The 19221-nt window shown below is 40.2% G+C and overlaps 1 protein-coding gene and 1 pseudogene across 5 annotated transcripts in view; one reads left to right on the top strand and one right to left on the bottom strand.

The window, feature by feature from the left end:
- ARHGEF28 (Rho guanine nucleotide exchange factor 28) overlaps positions 1-19221 on the bottom strand; it is a 315795-nt gene that overhangs the window by 102305 nt on the left and 194269 nt on the right. For all 5 annotated transcript variants that reach the window (NM_001080479.3, NM_001177693.2, NM_001388076.1 and 2 more), the window contains one exon: positions 7227-7348. In NM_001080479.3, coding sequence (NP_001073948.2) covers positions 7227-7348 — 122 coding nt within the window. The remainder of the gene's footprint in view (positions 1-7226; positions 7349-19221) is intronic.
- Positions 11613-11674, top strand: RNU7-196P (RNA, U7 small nuclear 196 pseudogene; annotated as a pseudogene).

Here is a 19221-nt window from a genome sequence, read left to right as displayed (position 1 = left end):
GTAAGGGGAGTCGGGAAACTCTGAATGGCAGAGAAAGGACGGAACTTCTGGAGGGCCTAAGACTTACTTAAAAATCCTCCCCAGAAAGAGAAAGCTCAACCCACATGCATGAAAAAGAGTCCTAGCTGATGAAAGCACTTGCTCTAAGAAAGGCGTACTTTTAAGCACTCATGATTTGAGGTGGCGGTCATCAAAAGGCATCAAGTCTGGAGTGAGGACAGTAAAAATGAAGACAGTAACACCATTTAGAGATAGAGCAGTGAAGGGGAAAAAGAAGCAAAAGGGGAAATGTTAGAATCCTAAATCATCGAGCATCATCATAATTTATTAAAGCAAAAACCATTAATGAATGCTTAATTAATGGGTGAAAGTCTAATGAGCAACAGGATATTTACAAGGGCTTAAAATATCTCCTGACATGGTACTTAATAATTTTTTAAAAACAGTAATTTTACTGAAAAAGGAACTTGGCAGATGAAAGATATTAATAAAATCACCAGTAATGGGACAGATTGATGTCCTATGCCTTCTGATACAACTCACTGAGAAGCACCCATCATCACTTCCGTAGTATTCCTGCCAAACATGCCTAACCTGAATCCAATTATGAGGAAATATCAGATAAACCAAAACTGAAAGACACTACACTCTTAGCAAAACACAAGAACAAAAATACTGGTCTGTATTCTTTTAAAATATCAGTGCCATAAAACACAAAGACTGAGGAACTGTCCCAGATTAAAGGAGACTACAGAGACACAACAACTATATGCAACACATGTAATGGAATTTTCTTTTGCCACAGGGAACATTATTGGGACAACTTGCTAAAATTGAACAAGGTCTGGAGATAGCTAATAGCATTGTATCGATGATAATTTTATGATTTTGGTAACTGTACTGTGCTTACGTAAGAAACTATCCATGTTTTTAGGAAAATACACCATGAAAGATTAAGAGGTAAAGGAACACCATATTTTTCATTTATTCTTACATGGTTAAGAAACATTTATAGACATAATTTAACTATTTGCATGCACACATAACCACCCACTCAGGGAATGACAATGTAAAATGTAGTAAAATATTACCATTTGAGGAATTTGAGTAAAGGGTATACAGGGATTCTCTGTACTGAAATTATGAAACAAATGTGTTTTTCTAAGTAGTTTATATGACAGAAATTTTCAAAGTAACTTTCATCATGTGAATTTTCTCAACAGGAAGGTTGATAACCTTGAAAATTAATGGGAAACATTAATATAAGCTAGTAATGTTTTTAGGTTTCCTTGCCAGGTTGAGGAAGATAAAGAAAATTAGATAAGATTATTTTCAGATATTGCCAGAAAGCATTTTAAATATGCAGAATTTGTATTCCTTACATTGTCCTTGCTATTCAAATAGATATAGGGGCTATAAAAAAAAAAGTACTATGCTAATATAATGGACTTTGTGATTTTGTTGCAGATTTAGTTTTATTTCTCAGTTTACAATGCACAACTTGGCAATCTGCTATGTTGCAGTTTGTTGAATTAACTTGTTTGAGTTCTCTCTAAATGCATGCTTCACTTTTTTTTCTTTTTGGCTTCACATCATTAAAGCAATACTTCTTTCACCCAGAATATTCCAGAATAAAAATTATATCTTGGCCGGGTGTAGTGGCTCATGCCTGTAATCCCAGTACTTGGGAGGCCAAGGTGGGCAGATCATTTGAGGCCAAGATTTCAAGACCAGCCTGGCCAACATGGCGAAACTGTCTCTTCTAAAAATACCAAAATTAGCCGGGTGTCATGGTGCACACCTGTAATCCCAGCTACTCTGGAGGCTAAGGCACAAGAATTGCTTGAGCCTGGGGGGTGGAGATTGCAGTGAGCCAAGATGGCACCATTGCACTCCCACCTGGATGACAGAGGAAGACTCTGTCTCAAAAAAAAAAAAAACAAAACGAAAGAAAGAAAGGAAGGAAGGAAGGAAGAAAGAAAGAAAGAGAACGAAAGAAAATTATATCCTAACCTTTTATTTACCAAATCTTTGGTTTGGTAAATTTTGCATTTTTAATGTATCTGAGAACATATAAAAGCATAATATATATAGTTTTCCCCACATAATATTGAGTAATTTACAATTTTAGTTACTTGAGGTAAATGGAAATACTATAGTTACAGTATTCACTAAGGCTCAGAACAAAAAAAATAAGGGCTCAAGAAGTATTTTATTTAAACAGCTAAGAAAATATGGCAGCAGAATAAATCTATTAAAATCAAAACATGACAAAAATATATGCACTGAAAACTATAAAACATAAATGAAAGAAATTGAAGCAACACAGATAAATGGAAAGATATCCTATGTTCATGGATTAGAAGAATTCATATGAAAGATATCCTGTGTTCATGGATTGGAAGAACTCATGTTGTCAAAATATCCATACTACCCAAAGTGAACTACAGATTCTATTTAATCTCTATCAAAATTATAATGGCAATTTTTCACAGAAATAGAAAAAAAAATCCTGAAATTTGAATGGAATCCCAAAAGACCCAGAAGAGCTCAAGCAATCTTTAGCAAGAAGAACAAAGTCAGAAGCATCACACTGCCTAACTTAAAATTATATTACAAAGATATGGTAATCAAAACATTATGGTACTGACATAAAAACAGACACATGGGCACATGGAACAGAATAGAAAGTCCAGAAATAAACCCACACATAAATACAGTCAATTAATCTTCAACAAATGTGCTAAAAATACACAACAGAGAAAAGACAGATCCTTCAATAATGATACTAGGAAAACTGGATAGCTACATGCAAAAAAAATGAAACTGGATCCCTATCTTACCACATATACAAATATCAACTCAAAATGCAATAAAGGCTTTAACATAAAACCTGAGACCATAAAACTCCTAGGAGGAAGCACAGAGGAAAAACTCCTTGACATTGGTCTTGGCAATTATTTTTTGGATGTGACACCAAAAGCACAAGCAAGAAAAGCAAAATAAATAAGTGTGACTACACCAAACCAAAAAATCTCTGCACAGCAAAGGAAACAGCAAAATAAAACAGCAACTTATAGAATTGGAGAAGATATTTACAAACCATGCATCTGATACGGAGTTAATACCCAAAATATGTAAGGAACTCACGCAACTCAATAGCAAAAACAAACAAACAAACAAACCCACAAATAACCAGATTTAAAAATAAAGTACCTAAATAGACATTTTCCCAAAAAATGACACACACAAATGGCCAATAGGTATATGCAAAAGTGCTCAACGTCACTAATCATCAGAAAAATGAACAAAACTACAATGAGATACCACCTCACACCTGTTAGAATGGCTATTACCAAAAAGACAAAAAAAAAAAAAAAAAGCTGACAAGGATGTGGAGAAAGGGGAATTCTTATACACTGTTGGGAATGTAAATCAGCACAGCCACAGTGGAAAACAGTATGAAAGTTCCTAAAAAAATTTAAAATACAACTACCATATGATCCAGCAATCCCACCACTGAGTATATATCCAAAGGAAACAGAATCACTATCCCAAAGAGATGTCTGCACTCCCATGTTCACTGCAGCACTATTCACAGTAGCCAAGAGATGGAATCAACCTAAGTGTCCAACAACAGATGAATAAAGAAAATGTGGCACATATGATTTTCTGAAAATATAGGGATAAAAACAGTCTTTTTTTCTATTCTCTTACTCAACAATCAACACAGAACTCTTCTGTGACTAAATGTGTGGGGTTTTCCCCCGACATGCAGCAAGGAAGCAATCCACCACTGAATTTCCTCTAATTCAGTTCAATTCAATTCTGGCACTATCGACCTGGAGATGGAGTCTGGTCCCACAGGGCTCAGTCCCACAAGACTCCCCACTACTTCCAATGACAACCACAAGCCCCAGATTGTTTTATCAACCAGCTATAAAATGGGGTTCCCACAGCCCCTCCTCAGGTTCAATCAATTTGCTAGAGCAGCTCACAGAACTCAGGGAAACACTTACATTTCCTGGTTTATTATAGTGAATATTACAAAAGATACAGAGAACAGTCAGATGGAAGAGATGCTTAGGGCAAGGAACTCCGGAAGGGGCACAGAGTTTCCACACCCTCCACAGGTGCACCACCCTCCAGGAACCCCCATGTATTCAGCTATCCAGAATCTCTTGAACCCAGTCCTTTTGGGTTTTTTTTTTTTTTTGAGACAGAGTCTTGCTCTGTCACCCAGGCTGGAGTGCAGTGGCACAATCTCGGCTCACTGCAAGCTCCGCCTCCCGGGTTCACGCCATTCTCCTGCCTCAGCCTCCCGAGTAGCTGGGACTACAGGCACCCGCCACCACGCCCTGCTAATTTTTTGTATTTTTAGTAGAGACAGGTTTCACCATGTTAGCCAGGATGGTCTCAATCTCCTAACCTCGTGATCCGCCCGTCTCGGCCTCCCAAAGTGCTGGGATTACAGGCGTGAGCCACCGTGCCCGGCCCGTCCTTTTGGGTTTTTATGGAAGCTTCATTATGCAGGCATGATTGGTTAAATTATTAGTAATTAGTGATCAATTTAACCTTCAGCCCCTCCTCCTTCCGTGGATGCTGGTAGGTGGAGCTGAAAATCCCAATCCTGTAACCCTGCCTTGGCCTTTCCGGTGACCAGCCCACATCCTGAAACTACCTAGGGGCTGCCAGCCACCAGTCATCTCACTAGCATACAAAAGACTATCACTTTGGAGACTCCAAGGATAAGTACAGTCATTCCTCACTTAAGTATGTAGATATGTTCTGAGAAATGCATCCTTAGTTTATCTTGCTATTGTGCAACCATCATAGAGTGTACTAACACAAACCTGCTAGTATAGCCTTCTACACACCTAGGCTATATGGTATAGCCTATTTCTCCTAAGCTACAAATCTATACAGCATGTTACTATACAGAATACTGTAGGCAACTGGGACACAATGGTAAGTACTTATATATCTAAATATAGAAAAAGTACAGTAAAAATATGGTATTATAATCTTATGGGATCACCTTTGCATATGGATTCCACCATTGACTGAAATGTGACAGATTCCATATACCTGCACACACAAACACACACATGCACACACACACACACACACACACACACACACAGGAATATTATTCAGCCCTAGAAAAGAAAAAAAATCCTGCCATTTGTGACAACATGGATGAATCTGGAAGACATTATGCTAAGTAAAATAAGCCAAACACAGAAAAACAAATACTGCATGATCTGACTTATATGTGGAATGTAAAAATGTCAAACTCATAGAAACAGTGAGTAGAAGAGTGCTTACTAGGGGTTGGAGGGTGGGGGAAATGGTGAAGTGTTAGTCGAAGGGTACAAACTTTCAGTTACACAATGAATAAGTTCTTGAGACCTAATGTACAACATGGTGACTATAGTTAATAATGCACTTTGTACTTGAAATTTGCTGTAGATCTTAAGTATTCTCACTACAAAAATAAATATGTGAGATGATATATGTGCTTAATTAGCTTGATTGTGGTAATTATCTCATAATATGTACATGTATCAAAACATTACATTGTATTCTTTAAATATATATAATTTCTATTTGTTCATTATACCTTAATAAAGCTGGAAAAAAATAAATAAATACTAGAACATGGCTAGAACACACCAAGTCCAATTACCCTGTGGTATGGTTTGGCACTGTGTCCCCATCCAAATCTCACTTTGAATTATAATAATTCCCATGTGTCAAGGGCAGGACCAGGTGGAGATAATTGAATCATGGGGGGTGGTTTTCCCCATGCTGTTCTCATGACAGTGAGTTCTCACGAGATTTGATGGTTTTATAAGGGGCTTCCCTCTTCACTCAGCACTCATTTTCTCTCCTGCTGCCCTGTGAAGAGGTATCTTCCGCCATTATTTTAAGTTTCCTGAGGCCTCCTCAGCCATGCAGAAGTGTGAGTCAATTAAACCTCTTTTCTTTAGAAATTACCCAGTCTCAGGTATTTCTTCATAGCAGTGTGGGAAGGGACTAACACATCCTGTGTCTTGAAAATCTCCTCAGAACTCCCACTGTGTCCTACACTCCATGACCCATTCTAGATTTCTATAACTAGGACTGACCTTCAGTTAGTTTATACCAAAACAACTATACCAGTTATTTACAGCTGAAGTCCATTCTGATTTATTGGTTTCTCTGTCATTATGACTACCATCCCAATCTGTGCTGCATTTGATATAACAGTGCTTTGTAACACAAAAGGAAAATGCAGAGATGTGCTACTGAAGGGCTGAAATTGAGCTCTAGATGGAAAAAAAAAAAGTTTAGATCACAGAATATATCTATAAATAGGGTAAAATACATGCATACTAACAACATAAAAGGGTTAAATGTCTTACTGCTCAGTGAGTAGATAGGGTGGATCTTATATAGGGATTAAGTTTTAAAGTCAGTTTATAAGGCAGACTTTGTGTCATCAAAACTACCCTTGAAAATCCCTTAAATCCTCCATATATTAGTGTGTAGAAATCTTCAGATCTATAATTTTTATAAATACTAAAATTTGAAGATCACTGAGCTAGAGAAAAGAACAAAAGACAAGAAGATGCCAGCACATTCAAACCATCTGCTTCTGTGAGATTTAACTCAAAAGTCTCTATCAGGGACTGGGTGGAAAGTTCCAAAGGATTCCAGCTTCTTTATAATATGATACCATTCTGTATTAATATGAAAGCTCTACAATCTTACTACATGTTAATAGATGCGTTGTATCGATTAAGCAAGTAATTTATGTGACAGTTTCCTATGGTGCTGGGACCAAGCACCTGCTCATTACATTTGCTGGATTTGAATACAAATATTGCATAATCAGGTCATATACATACTGTTTTTTGAAAAGCTGTAGAGGAGACATTGGTTGCACAGTTGTCATTTCCTACTTGGGCCCCGAAGAAGAGCTCTCACACTCTTCCCATTTGGCAGTATCTCAAGACCCCTCCCTGACAGTGCCTCTGGGTTGAGTAAGGTGTCTTGTGTTCTGAAGTAAGCACCTAAGTTAAATGCTTAAATGCTCATACAATGAGACCCCACAACAGCATCCTCTTTGCTGCTCTTAGGCTAAAATTGTCAAAGGAACACAACAATGCTGAATCTATTTCTTACAAACCCAGGTTTTGGAGAGAGGTAGAAATCATCCTGTAATGTCAGTTGGGCCTTACCTGATCAATCACCATACAGTTAGCGTAGACTTCATCACCTCCATTCAGCATGTCTGAAAGCCGGCCTGCAGCAAGCAATGTCGAGGGCGGCTTGGATTTTTTTAGGATATCGAAGGAGCGATCTAGAGTACAAAAATGAAAACAGGGCAAATAAAGGAGAAGGGGCTTATTTTACAGTCAAGCTTTACCTTCTTAGACCATAAGAAAAAAAGTCAAGTGCATTTTTTAAGAGGGCTTTTGGCTAGATTTTAAGATCTACATGCAAGTAATTTTTCATCTATATCCAAACCTCAGCTATCTAGAATTTTTACGTAGGATGAAAAGTTCTAGATAGATAAATATTTGCCCACTTCAAGCGTTATTTTCCCCATCATTAGAGGCCTTTGTAAAATCAATTAAATCTTTGCTTTTGATTTCTACTATATTTTTAAATTAAACTTCATTTCCCTTTATTAGTAACTAAACTTCAGGCCGGACATGGTGTCTCACGCCTGTAATCCCAGCACTTTGGGAAGCCAAGGCGGGCAGATCACCTGAGGTTGGGAGCTCGAGACCAGCCTGACCAACATGGAGAAACCCCATCTCTACTAAAAATACAAAATTAGCTGGGCATGGCGGCGCATGCCTGTAATCCCAGCTACTCAGGAGGCTGACAAAGGAGAAGCACTTGAACCTGGGAGGTGGACGTTGCGGTGAGCCGAGACCGTGCCATTGCACTCCAGACTAGGCAACAAGAGTGAAACTCCGTCTCAAAACAAACAAACAAAAACTATACATTTCCCTTTATTGATAACTAAACTTAATTTCCCTTTATTAATAACTTAGAAGTATTAGTGACTGTACTGTGATCCTCAGTTTCCACTGACATGCTCAGATTCAATGACCCTCTATCAAAGGACCCAAGAGAGTACACAGCCTAGCAGTTCTGGCTCGGTACTGCTTGCTAACATGCAGAATCTCACACGTGGAGAATTTTACTTCTATTTTGGTTACGGAAATGTTTATGCTTGCTTTCATGTCTCAGCTTTGTTCCAAATAGATGAGGTTGCCTAAAATTGAGTCCCAGAGAGTTAAGCTGTTACTGTGTTTGTAGAGAATGAAGAGTCAAAGGCAATAAAACACATTCGAGCTAGAACGCCTTGTGTCTTGTGACCTTGGCTAGTTTACTAGCCCTCTAGATATCTTCACAAAGTTTCCTCATCCATAAAAGCAGATTACTATTATGCTTTCCTCATAGTGTGGTTATGAGGATTAAGTGCGTTCAGACATGTAAAGACTTGACACATGCCTGGTAAAAAGTGCTCAATAAATATTATTGGTCAGAATTACTATTAAATTTGTAATTATTATGGATAGCAATTTTTAACCATGTTCAGTGTGAAGTGCAAGGTTATTAATACTAATCATAGTGTGTTATGGTAATAACAGATTTTCAGTATGTTTAAATGACTTTCACAGGGCAGAGTCAATGTTATACCTATAGTAAATGCCATCCTCACTAACATCCCCGTAAATTTTCTTGAATAGGTACATAGGAATAGTACTGCTGTTAGTCCATTAGAAATGTCACATGTCCCACTGCCTGTCTTATCTATGTCATAACATAAAACCTGATAAGCCCATGGGGGTGAATCAGGAAATAAAAAAAGATTAATAACTGTTGGGCTGAAGTACCATGAGCAAAAAAAAAATCCATTCTTTCTTGGAAGGTAATGAGGACATCATAAAAGTTCCAAAGTTGTATGAATTGTAGTTTCACAAGTCAAATGGCCCTGGCTTCAGATTCTGCTTCTAAATCTATCTCTTCTCCACACAGAACACTGAAGTGTGAGATTCATTAAGCTTCTGGAGGAAACATACGATGTTAAAGAAAAACATTTTCTTTTTTTTTTTTTTTTTCTTTTTTTGAGATGGAGTTTCGCTCTGTCACCAGGCTGGAGTGCAGTGGCGCAATCTCGGCTCACTGCAAGCTCCACCTCCCAGGTTCACGCCATTCTCCTGCCTCAGCCTCCTAAGTTGCTAGGACTACAGGTGCCCGCCACCACACCCAGTTAATTTTTTGTATTTTTCAGTAGAGACGGGGTTTCACCGTGTTAGCCAGGATGGTCTCGACCTTCTGACCTCGTGATCCAGCCGCCTCGGCCTCCCAAAGTGCTGGGATTACAGGCATGAGCCACCACGCCCGGCCAGTCTACATTGTCTTAACTGCAATTCTGAAATCCAGAAAGCTCTGAAAATCAGAATTTTCCCCATAAGTTTGGTTCAAAAACATATTCTGTGGCACAATCTGACCTGAGCCCACATTGGACCATGCATATTCTTTACTTGCTCTACTTGGTGTCAATGTCATACATTTTGCTGCAGAAATATTAATACACTTGATGATAGCATTGCCCCAGTGTCTCCTATGGGAGTCATATCATATCAGTATGAACACCAGGCCAAAAAGATCTGAAAATTCGGAATTCCAAAACAAATCTGGTCCCAAGAATTTCAAAGAAGAGATTGTGGGTCTCTACAAAATCAGCCATATTAGATATTAGAACAACACTTCCCAAGCTTTTCTCATTCTTCTACCAAATTCACAATTTTGCCATATTTACATATCACCTATATTGTTTCATGGATATATTCACCTATATTCTTTAGTACCCATCTTTAAATGGACTCGCCTTTTTTCTTTAAATAAAATTAATTTAAAAAATACCTAAGATTAAGAAAAATCTTATCCCCACTGTACATAGAAAGCCAATATTATTCCTGTCAAAAGTAGAAGGGAAGGCCAGGCGCGGTGGCTCACGCCTGTAATCTCAGCACTTTGGGAGGCTGAGGTAGGCAGATCACAAGGTCAGGAGATCGAGACCATCCTGGCTAACATGATGAAACCCTGTCTCTACTAAAAATTATAAAAAATTAGCCGGGCATGGTGGCACACGCCTGTAGTCCCAGCTACTCGGAAGGCTGAGGCAGGAGAATTGCTTGAACCCAGAGATGGAGGTTGCAGTGAGCCGAGATTGCGCCACTGCACTCCAGCCTTGGCGACAGAGTGAGATTCCATCTCAAAAAAAAGAAGAAGGGAATTATATGTACTGAAATCATGCAAACAAAACAATGAAATTAGATTCTGACTCTTTGTTGCAAAGGGAGATTCTGAAGGATTCAAGAAATGTTAAAGATGCAAGGGTACCACACTGAGACTTTCTCCTTCAATCAACAGAATGATTGAAAGAAAATACCTGCATGACTCTATGATTCAATGTCATCTTTGTGTTTGTGGACATCTCCAAGATGGACTATTCCTAGAAGAATTCACCATATACTTTCAAAAAGTGGCCTATGCCAGGTACGGTGGCTCACACACCTGTAATCCCAGCAATTTGTGAAACTGAGGCAGGTGAATCACTTGAGCCCAGGAGTTCAAGACCAGCCTGGGCAACATGACTAAACCCTGTCTCCACTAAAAATACAAAAATCAGATGGGTGTGGTGGTGCACACCTGTAGTCCCAGCTACTCAGGAAGCTGAAGTGAGAGGATTGCTTGAGCCTGGGAGGTGGAGGCTGCAGTGAGCTGTGATAGCGCCACTACACTCCAGCCTGGACGACAGAATAAGTAACACCCTGTCTCAAAGAAGAAAAAGGAAAAAGGAAAAGAAGGAAAGGAAGGAAGAAAGGAAAGGAAGGAAAGGAAGGAAGGACAGAAAGAGAGGAAGAGAGAAAGAAAGAGAAAGACAGAGAGAAAGAAAGAGAAAGAGACAGAGAGAAAGAAAGAGAAAGAGAAAGAAAGGAAAAGGAAAGGAAAGGAAAAAGGAAAGGAAAGGAGAAACAAAAGGAAAAAGGAAAAAAGAAAGGAAAGGAGAAAGGAAAAAGGAAAGGAAAGGAAGAAAAGGTGGCTTAGCCCATGTCATCTTCCTGTCACTCGGGTAATGGCTCCACCGAGACAGTAAGTCTTGTGAAGGACATAGGTGTGCAAGAGCATAATCCAGCATAATCTCCTCTCTACTTCTGTCACCTAGAACCTGACATGTAGATTTAATCACTTGCTGCAATCATTAATAACATTGGCACAAACATCCTTTTGAGTATTTTTCTGAGGCATACATAGCCTCTGCTTGTCAAAGGATGCCTCAAGACAATAGGATCTAGAAGTGAACACAGACTCACAAACAAGAAAATGATGCAGACTAACAGGACCACCACTCCTTTATTAACTTCAACACTAGCCACTGCAAATAATGGGCTTAAAACCAGCAGAAGACTGATCGTGAAAGGAAAATAAGCCTTAAAGGACACTTTCAAGTAAACATCAGCTACGTATATTGAAGTGGCTAATTGCTCTACCATGTTTCAGCCTATTCAAAGGAAAAGCTATAATAGTTTCATTTTTTTAAGTGTTACAGCCCTTTTCAAATTTGTCTAGCAGGCTTTTTGGGTTAGGTCAGAAAGTCCCCAAAAATAGTTTCTTTTTTTAAAGGTATCTTTTCAATATTTTCAAGAAATATGATTTTATCACTTCTATATGTAACTACTCCAGTAACAAATTAAGTGAAAAAGTTATTGACCCCAAAAATGGACTGCTTTTTCAATGAGCATATAGAAATAATTTGCAATAAGAACCAGCTACTTGTTTTAAATTAATGCTGTCTTATAGGAAGTTTTTCTTAGCTAAAAATTAACATTATAGTTTTGTTGATAATTTTTAATATTTGGTAAGCATATATTTCAAAGACAATATAAAAGTAGCCAAAGCTCAACTCCCATTTTAGAAAAATGGCTGCAGATTTTAAATTAGTGAAAAACACTCGTGTGTTGCAGTGGTTAAAAGCATGAGCCCTGAACTGCCTGGGTTCAAGTCTCTACTCCACCACCTATTAGCTGTGTGACTGGGGCAAGTTACTTAAGCTCTCTGTGCTTGCATTTCCTGATCTGTAAAATAAGGCAATAATATATCCATCTCATAGAATTATTCTGAAAATTAAATGAGTTAATATTTTAAGTGATTAGAGCAGACTCTGACATAGTAAGCACCCTATAAATTCTTTATTAGTTATGCTTCCTAAATATTTAAAAAGTAAATGAGGTTGCATAATTTTAGTTCTGATTCTTTTTAAAAATAATTTCAACCCCTGCTATAATGTTACACATTCAAAAACAACCCAAGGCCACTGGCATGCACAAAACATTCCATTTGCTTCACGAAGCACATTTAAAATGTTGTGACTTTTATATCAGACTTAGCTGGTGTTAAGAAATTTTGAAAAATCTATCCTGGACATGGTTAACTGAAAAACATAAAATGTGAAGAGAAAGAAAAGCCATCAAACTGCCTATAGGATTTACCTCCAAGGACTGAAGGATGAGCTCTCATGAAATGGGAGGGATTATAACTGCAGGATAAAGTTAGACAATCAGAGACAGCATTTCTCAAGAACAAAGGCAAGATTTCAGAAACTAAGATGTCCTAACATGATGAAGTGGACTCGGGCCAGCTTCTCACTGCAAAGTGCCTGGAGGATAAACAGCAACTCCAAGGGGATCCCCAGCTCTCCTCTCTCCTATTCTCACTGCTTTGTAATGTGATCTAGGTGACTCCACAAGGGCTCCGTGAGGTCAAAATTTTCATCAGCCCATCCTTCCTGTACTAAATGCTCTAATCAGGTGACACAGGGGAGACAATTGAAAGTAAATAGATTCCACCCATAGAAAGAAGGGGAATTGGAACTAGTAAGGGGGAGAGGGAGAGGCAGTTGCAGATGCCTCCCTTCTGACATTGACAACTACTTCAAGTCTAGCAGGAAACAGTTAATGACACGGCCCAGCCTAGGGCTTCTTCAACTGATTTCCAACAAAATCCACCTCTCCCTTAAGAAGCTAAGAGCCTTGTAGCTAAAGCAAAATGTGGCCTACTTGACTGGTTATGTAAGAGACCCACGCCCAGACATAAACAAACCCAGCTAAGGCAGTTTTCTGCAAACCTGCTGCTGACCTGGTTTGGCCCACTCTGGATGCCAGAGCGCGAAAGTCAGGTGAAGGCCTCTCAGTACAAGTATCTCTTAACTGTGGCTGAGTAGATTGGTTTCATTCATTCATTGTATTTTGTTTTAACTCTAGACCTTTATGAACAGCAGAAACGTTCACTGAGAATAACTAACCACCATAAAAAGGGTGAGCCTTACTTTAGAGTTCAATTCCTAACACTCTGCTGAAACAGTGCCCATCATGGTCACCAAAGACCTTCAAATGACAGAACCTATAGTCAGCTCTCAGTCGCACCTTCTGTGACCTACAGCAGTATTTAATACAGTTGATCATTTCCTGTCCTTATCCTCCAGGACACCAGGCTCTCTAGGTTCTCCTCCCACCTTGCTGGCCTTTTCTTCTCAGGCCCTATAGCAGGTTCCTCCTCATCTTCTGGATGTTGGCAGGTTGTACTACTTTAGGGTCAGTCCTCAAACTCCACTCTCTCCACTCTTCCCTTGGTTATCTGACAGCATGGCATCACACACCATCATATGATGATGACTCTCACATTTTCAACTCCAGTCCAGATGTCCAGACCACTCCCCTGAGTCACACTATCCCCTCAATATCTCCTCCTAGTTGTTCTAGCAGTCATTTCAAGCACAACAGGTCCAAAGCTGAACTCTTGATTCCCACCCCAACACCCAGCTTCTCCTCCCAAAAAATGGCAACTCTGTCTTTCCTTGGAGTCACCCTTGACTGTTTTCTTTCTTTCACAACTGGATTCAGAATCTGACCTTTCTCATCACCTCCACTGCAACACCAGGCAAGCCACCACGGTCTTCTTCCTAAACTGTTACAACAGTAGTCTCTCTGCTCCTACTCTTGGCCCTCCATAGCCTTTTCGCCACAGGATAGACAAAGGAAATCGAGTCACGTCATGCCTCTGCAACGTTCTCCAATGGCTTCCCATCTCATTCTGAGTGAAGGCCAGAGTTTTCCATGACCTACAGTGCCTCCCGTTGCCTGCCCCTCCTCCACTCTCTCCCAGCCTCTCGGAAGCCCTGCCCACTACTCTACTCCAGCCCCACAAGCCTCCTTGCTGTTTTTGCCTCAGGCCACTTGCACTTGCTGCTCCACCTTCCAGCAGGGCTCTTCCCCTGGATATGCAGATGCCTTGCTTTCTCACTTTCTTCTCATCTCTGCCCCAGTGTCATCTTACCAAAGAGGCTCTCCCTGATCATCTTATATGAAATGGCAACCGCCAACCCTTGCTTTATTTTCACTCATGCCCCTTACCATCACCTAGCATAGTAGGGATTTATTTGCTTGTTGTATGTCATCTGTTTCCTTCCAATAAAACATATGCTCCATGAGAACAGCAACTGCAAAGACAGTTTTGTTCACCATCTCCCCAGTACCTAGAACCATACAGGCAGGCAGTGGATAATGAATATTCACTGAAGAGATAAATAATTTATCATCAAGAACAGAAAATTCTCTTCAGATCTAGTAATGTTTTCTCAGATTCTGAGGTTTTCTTGTGATAGGCTCTCCTTGCTACACGTTGTGATGGGAGTGTCACTGTCTTCTTTCATTCACTTATTCACCCATTCATTCATTCTTTTTTTCAACACTTACTGAGTGTCTACTGATCACCAGGTACTGTGCAACCTGCTGGGCCCAGGATGGAGCCCTCAGCCTCTATCAGCGACTCTTAAAAAAACATCTTCAGGTCTGGCGCAGTGGCTCACACCTATAATCCCAGCACTTTGGGAGGCCAAGGTGGGTGAATCACCTGAGGTCAGGAGTTCAAGACCACCCTGGACAACACGGCAAAACCCTGTCTCTATTAAAAGTACAAAAATTAGCCGGGCGTGATGGCGCATGCTGTAATCCCAGCTACTCAGGCAGCTGAGGCAGGAGAATCGCTTGACCTGGGAGGCAGAGGTTGCAGTGAGCCGAGATCATGCTACCGCACTCCAGCCTGGGCAACAGACTGAGACTCCATCTCAAAAAAAAAAAAAAAGTCTTCAAACCCCAGTGAGTATTGTCTATTCCCCAGGAGGTCCCCTGACCCAGCCAGGAGGCTTTCCTTCTTCTCTGAGCTCTTTCTATTATCTCTGTATTTTGTCCTATGTCATCTGTCACACTCTGGGAATGAGAGTTTTATTTTGCTCTTCCTGGTAGGATAAGTAACTTCCCGACTAGGGTCTCAGCTACAAACAGATTGTGTAAAACACCACAATACCATGCACCTCTTATGCCTTCTGGTAGCAGTAGCCCAAGAGTATTACTGTTTAATCCTTTACTTAAAATATCAGATAGGCTACCCCTTTGCTAACAAAATAATGGGATGATCAGGCAGATATGCAAAGTAAAGGTACTGGGAAGAAGATATCAGGAAGAAAAACATTAAAAAGTAGGAATTAGATGTAAAATATGAACTGCTATCACAGTCAGCATCTCTGGAACACCTGCTACACACTGGGTAATTATACCAGACACTACTACTATTGTAGCTAACATAACTATGGTGCTTACTCTGAACCAGGCACTGTATGATTAATATTTATTAACACATTTCATCCCCAAAACAATTCCATTTGACAGATGAGGAAACTGCAGTGCTATTTAAGTAACTTCCCAAGGGCACACAGCTAATCAATGGTGGCTCTCTGCAGACACTCTGCTATGTAGTTCAAAGTCCTTTATGTAATAATTAGGGTTACCAAGTATCCTATTTTGAACCAAAGAAAATGGTATTTGAGCAATGTCTGGTATTTTTCCATTAAGAAGTTTCATTAATGTGTTACAGTGTGACTTGTACCTAGGTATGTTCGCCCACTTCCTGGCCCTGTCCTATTCACCCCTGGCAGTTTGCTGAGTCTTGCTGAGAAAACATTCACAGAACAGTAGATACATTATCTCATTTTGTTTAAGAGTACAACAACTTTCAAGATACTCAAGACTCAAAGACCTAAAAGATAAACTAAGATGTCAACTGCTATTTCTAGGTGACAAAATATAAGCAGTTTTTATTTTCAACTCTTTACTATCTGTAATTTCTAGATTTTTAAGAATAACCATCCTTAGACCTAAAATAAGAATCTGAAAAAGTCATATTTTTAAAATGTGCCTCTTAAGTAAAGCTGTGTAATTTTATGCAAAATGGTAGGTTATCAGTAAGTCGACCATATCTGATAATATATGTATAAATGTATTAACTGGAAACGTTTTACCCAAGAGCATACAGAATTGTTTTTAACCATCTGCCAAACTTACTCTCCATAACTGCATGAGTCATTACTATATTTGTTTTGTAGACAAGAAAGCTAAGGCCCAGGGAAAGTGATTAACCTGCCCAGGTTATTAAGTGGTTGAACCAGAACGCAAACACGGTCCTGACAGAGAGCAAAGCCCAGCTGCTGCATATACAATCTCCCAAATTTCCTCATTCAAAGGGACCTTCACCAAGTTCTGAAGTTTATAGAAAGTCCTTTTCACCAATGGTCTTAGTGTTACCCAGAAGAAAGAAAGAAAAACTACCCTCAGAATGAAAGTGAACATTTCTGAGCTGGGTGCAGTGGCTCATGCCTATAATCCCAGCACTTTGGGAGGCCAAGGTAGGAGGAATGCTTAAGCCCAGGAGTTTGAGACCAGCCTGGACAACACAGCAAGACCTTGTTTCTACAAAAAAAATGAAACAAATTAGCTGCATGTGGTGGTGCATGTCTGTATACGCAAGCTACTCAGGAGGCTGAGGCAGGAGGATCACTTGAGCTCAGCAGTTAGAAGCTGCAGTGAGCTATGTTCTTGTCACTGCACTCCAGCCTGGGTGAGACTCTGTCTCTAAAAAAAATGGGGTGGGCAGGACATTTCCAGAGGTAAACTAGCATTCATCTCCTCGCCCATTCCTCTTCTAAGGTTCTCTTAGGATTTTTCCTGATATTAGTCTTGGCCATACTCTTCTGAGTTGGACCTGAGGTTACAGAGAGGATACATCCAAATTCCAAAATTATCCTCAGCCCAGGAATTTCCTGTGGGTCATATGTAAGCTAAAGTAACTCTGTAGATTTTAATATGTAGCAAGAATATCTGAGAGAACCCAGGGAACCTCTGTTCACCACACTAGAGTCTCAATCCAAATACCCAATTCACCCTCATAACTTACCTAACCTTCCTGGGATCCTTTAGAAAGAAAAGTGGTCCCTGGAAGGAGGTCGGGCCTCTCAGGGCAGTCCTGTTAGCCACAGAAACAGCTGGGGACAAAGCCAGTGGATTCCAGAGGTGCTGGGAGTGAGAGCTGTTTCTCCAGCTCCTCCTTCCCCCCGGAAAAGCACAGTTTAAACCCCCTCGTAAATAACAAGTACACTTTGGGTCTCTAAAACCAGATCCTTAAAAAGAGTCCTATTCTACTGTTTTGAAGGAACTAATCAACATTATTGAAGAAGAAAACAAGCCTTTTCCCTTATAATAGGGGAGAGACATAGGGGGAAGTCAGGAGAAGATGGGGAAACTGCAGGCCTCTGAGAACAAAAACCAATCTTTCCAAGTCCTCACTCCGCATTGTAGTAGCACAAAGTAGCCTTCAAGACTCCCTACATTTATGTTTGGAAAAAGGACTCTTGAATGTATAAATAACTTTTTTTCTTCCCTTGCTTCCCTCAAGCAATCAAGCAGATATTCAGTCATGTGTGGTGTGTGGACTTCGGCATGATTAGATTTAATCAACAAGCCCCTTCCTTCTTGATGCAGTTCTCCAAGGCCTAAAGCAAATTAGTCCACATCAAGGAAAAATTGGCAAACCGAGAGGGGAAGAACCTAATATATAAAAACACCATGATAAAACCAAAAGACCTCAAATGAAGCGGCGGACTCTGACAAGACCACTTCAAGTGACTCCAAAAATATAAACAAACTAATGAGGAAGATGCCCCATATGTCATCATCACAAAGAACTCTACGAATAAGTCAGATCCCCTATAATCTAATGGAAAGACACTGGCACACAAAAATGATTTTCTTCCTTTCAAATTCATGAGGAGCTCTATTCTCCAGTGCCTATCCCTAGAGCCATATGTGTTTCGGCTCCCCTAAATATCCTCAAAAGTAATTGAGTTCTATAGACAAAAAACTATGCTAGCAAAATAGAGAATTCTCCATGGAAATGTATGTTTTTTCCCTTATTTTTTATGTGTCCTCAATAGAAACATTCTGAATGAATGAATAAACGGAAGAATGGCTGAATGAATGATGAAAGCCAAGTACTACCTGGCATTCCTCCAAATTGTTCTGTTTCTTCTGGTTGAGAAGCCCTACTTAATTCCTGAATCCTGTTTCATTATCCTGAGCAACTCCGAGATACTACCGGGTAGGTAGGGATGAATGAGAGCTGGATGTGGGATTTGTCAACATTCATAACCAGGACTCTCGATTGTCAGGGATGACACTGACCAGGTAGATGAGACAAGTGATTTCCCTGCCTCTGAAGAACAGTGTGAAATAAGCTATGGGCTACTCTGAGGGTCGGTGGGTTTTTCCTGCTTCCATCTGGGACTCTGCAGTAGATCACTTTGCAGGCTACCCCTCACCATCATGAGGACAACCATTACCAAGCACACTTGCAGGAAGAAAAAGGTCAAGCAGCAGGGCCAGGCTCAGCTTCCCTGGGCCACTCTCAGGTGCCTGCATGGTGAGAATGGGATCCCATAAATCCCGAAGCCCTCTGAGAAGAACACGAAGTGGCCTGAATTGAGCACCTGTGGCCTGCCATGAAGCCCACCATAGTGCGAAGGAAGAGACCAGATGGCAGACGTTTCTGGGGGAAGCATCTAGGTCAGCAGCCAGGGGAAGAGAGTCCAAGGTTTCTGTAGGGTAAGAGCCAGGGTGGGGCCAAGTCAGGGTGAAGCCAGAAGGAGAATCACCAGGTCCTGACTAGCACCACAATCCCAGCTGCTGACCTTTATCACAGATGCCAGAACACCCAGTAATAAAGCACTCATACCTCAGGGAAGAGCCTAGGCCAGTCAAGCCA

Source organism: Homo sapiens, chromosome 5, assembly GCF_000001405.40.
Source record: "Homo sapiens chromosome 5, GRCh38.p14 Primary Assembly".
NCBI lineage: Eukaryota > Metazoa > Chordata > Mammalia > Primates > Hominidae > Homo > Homo sapiens.
The sequence above is the reverse complement of the archived record's forward strand: the minus strand, read 5'-3'. Positions and strand labels throughout refer to the sequence as shown.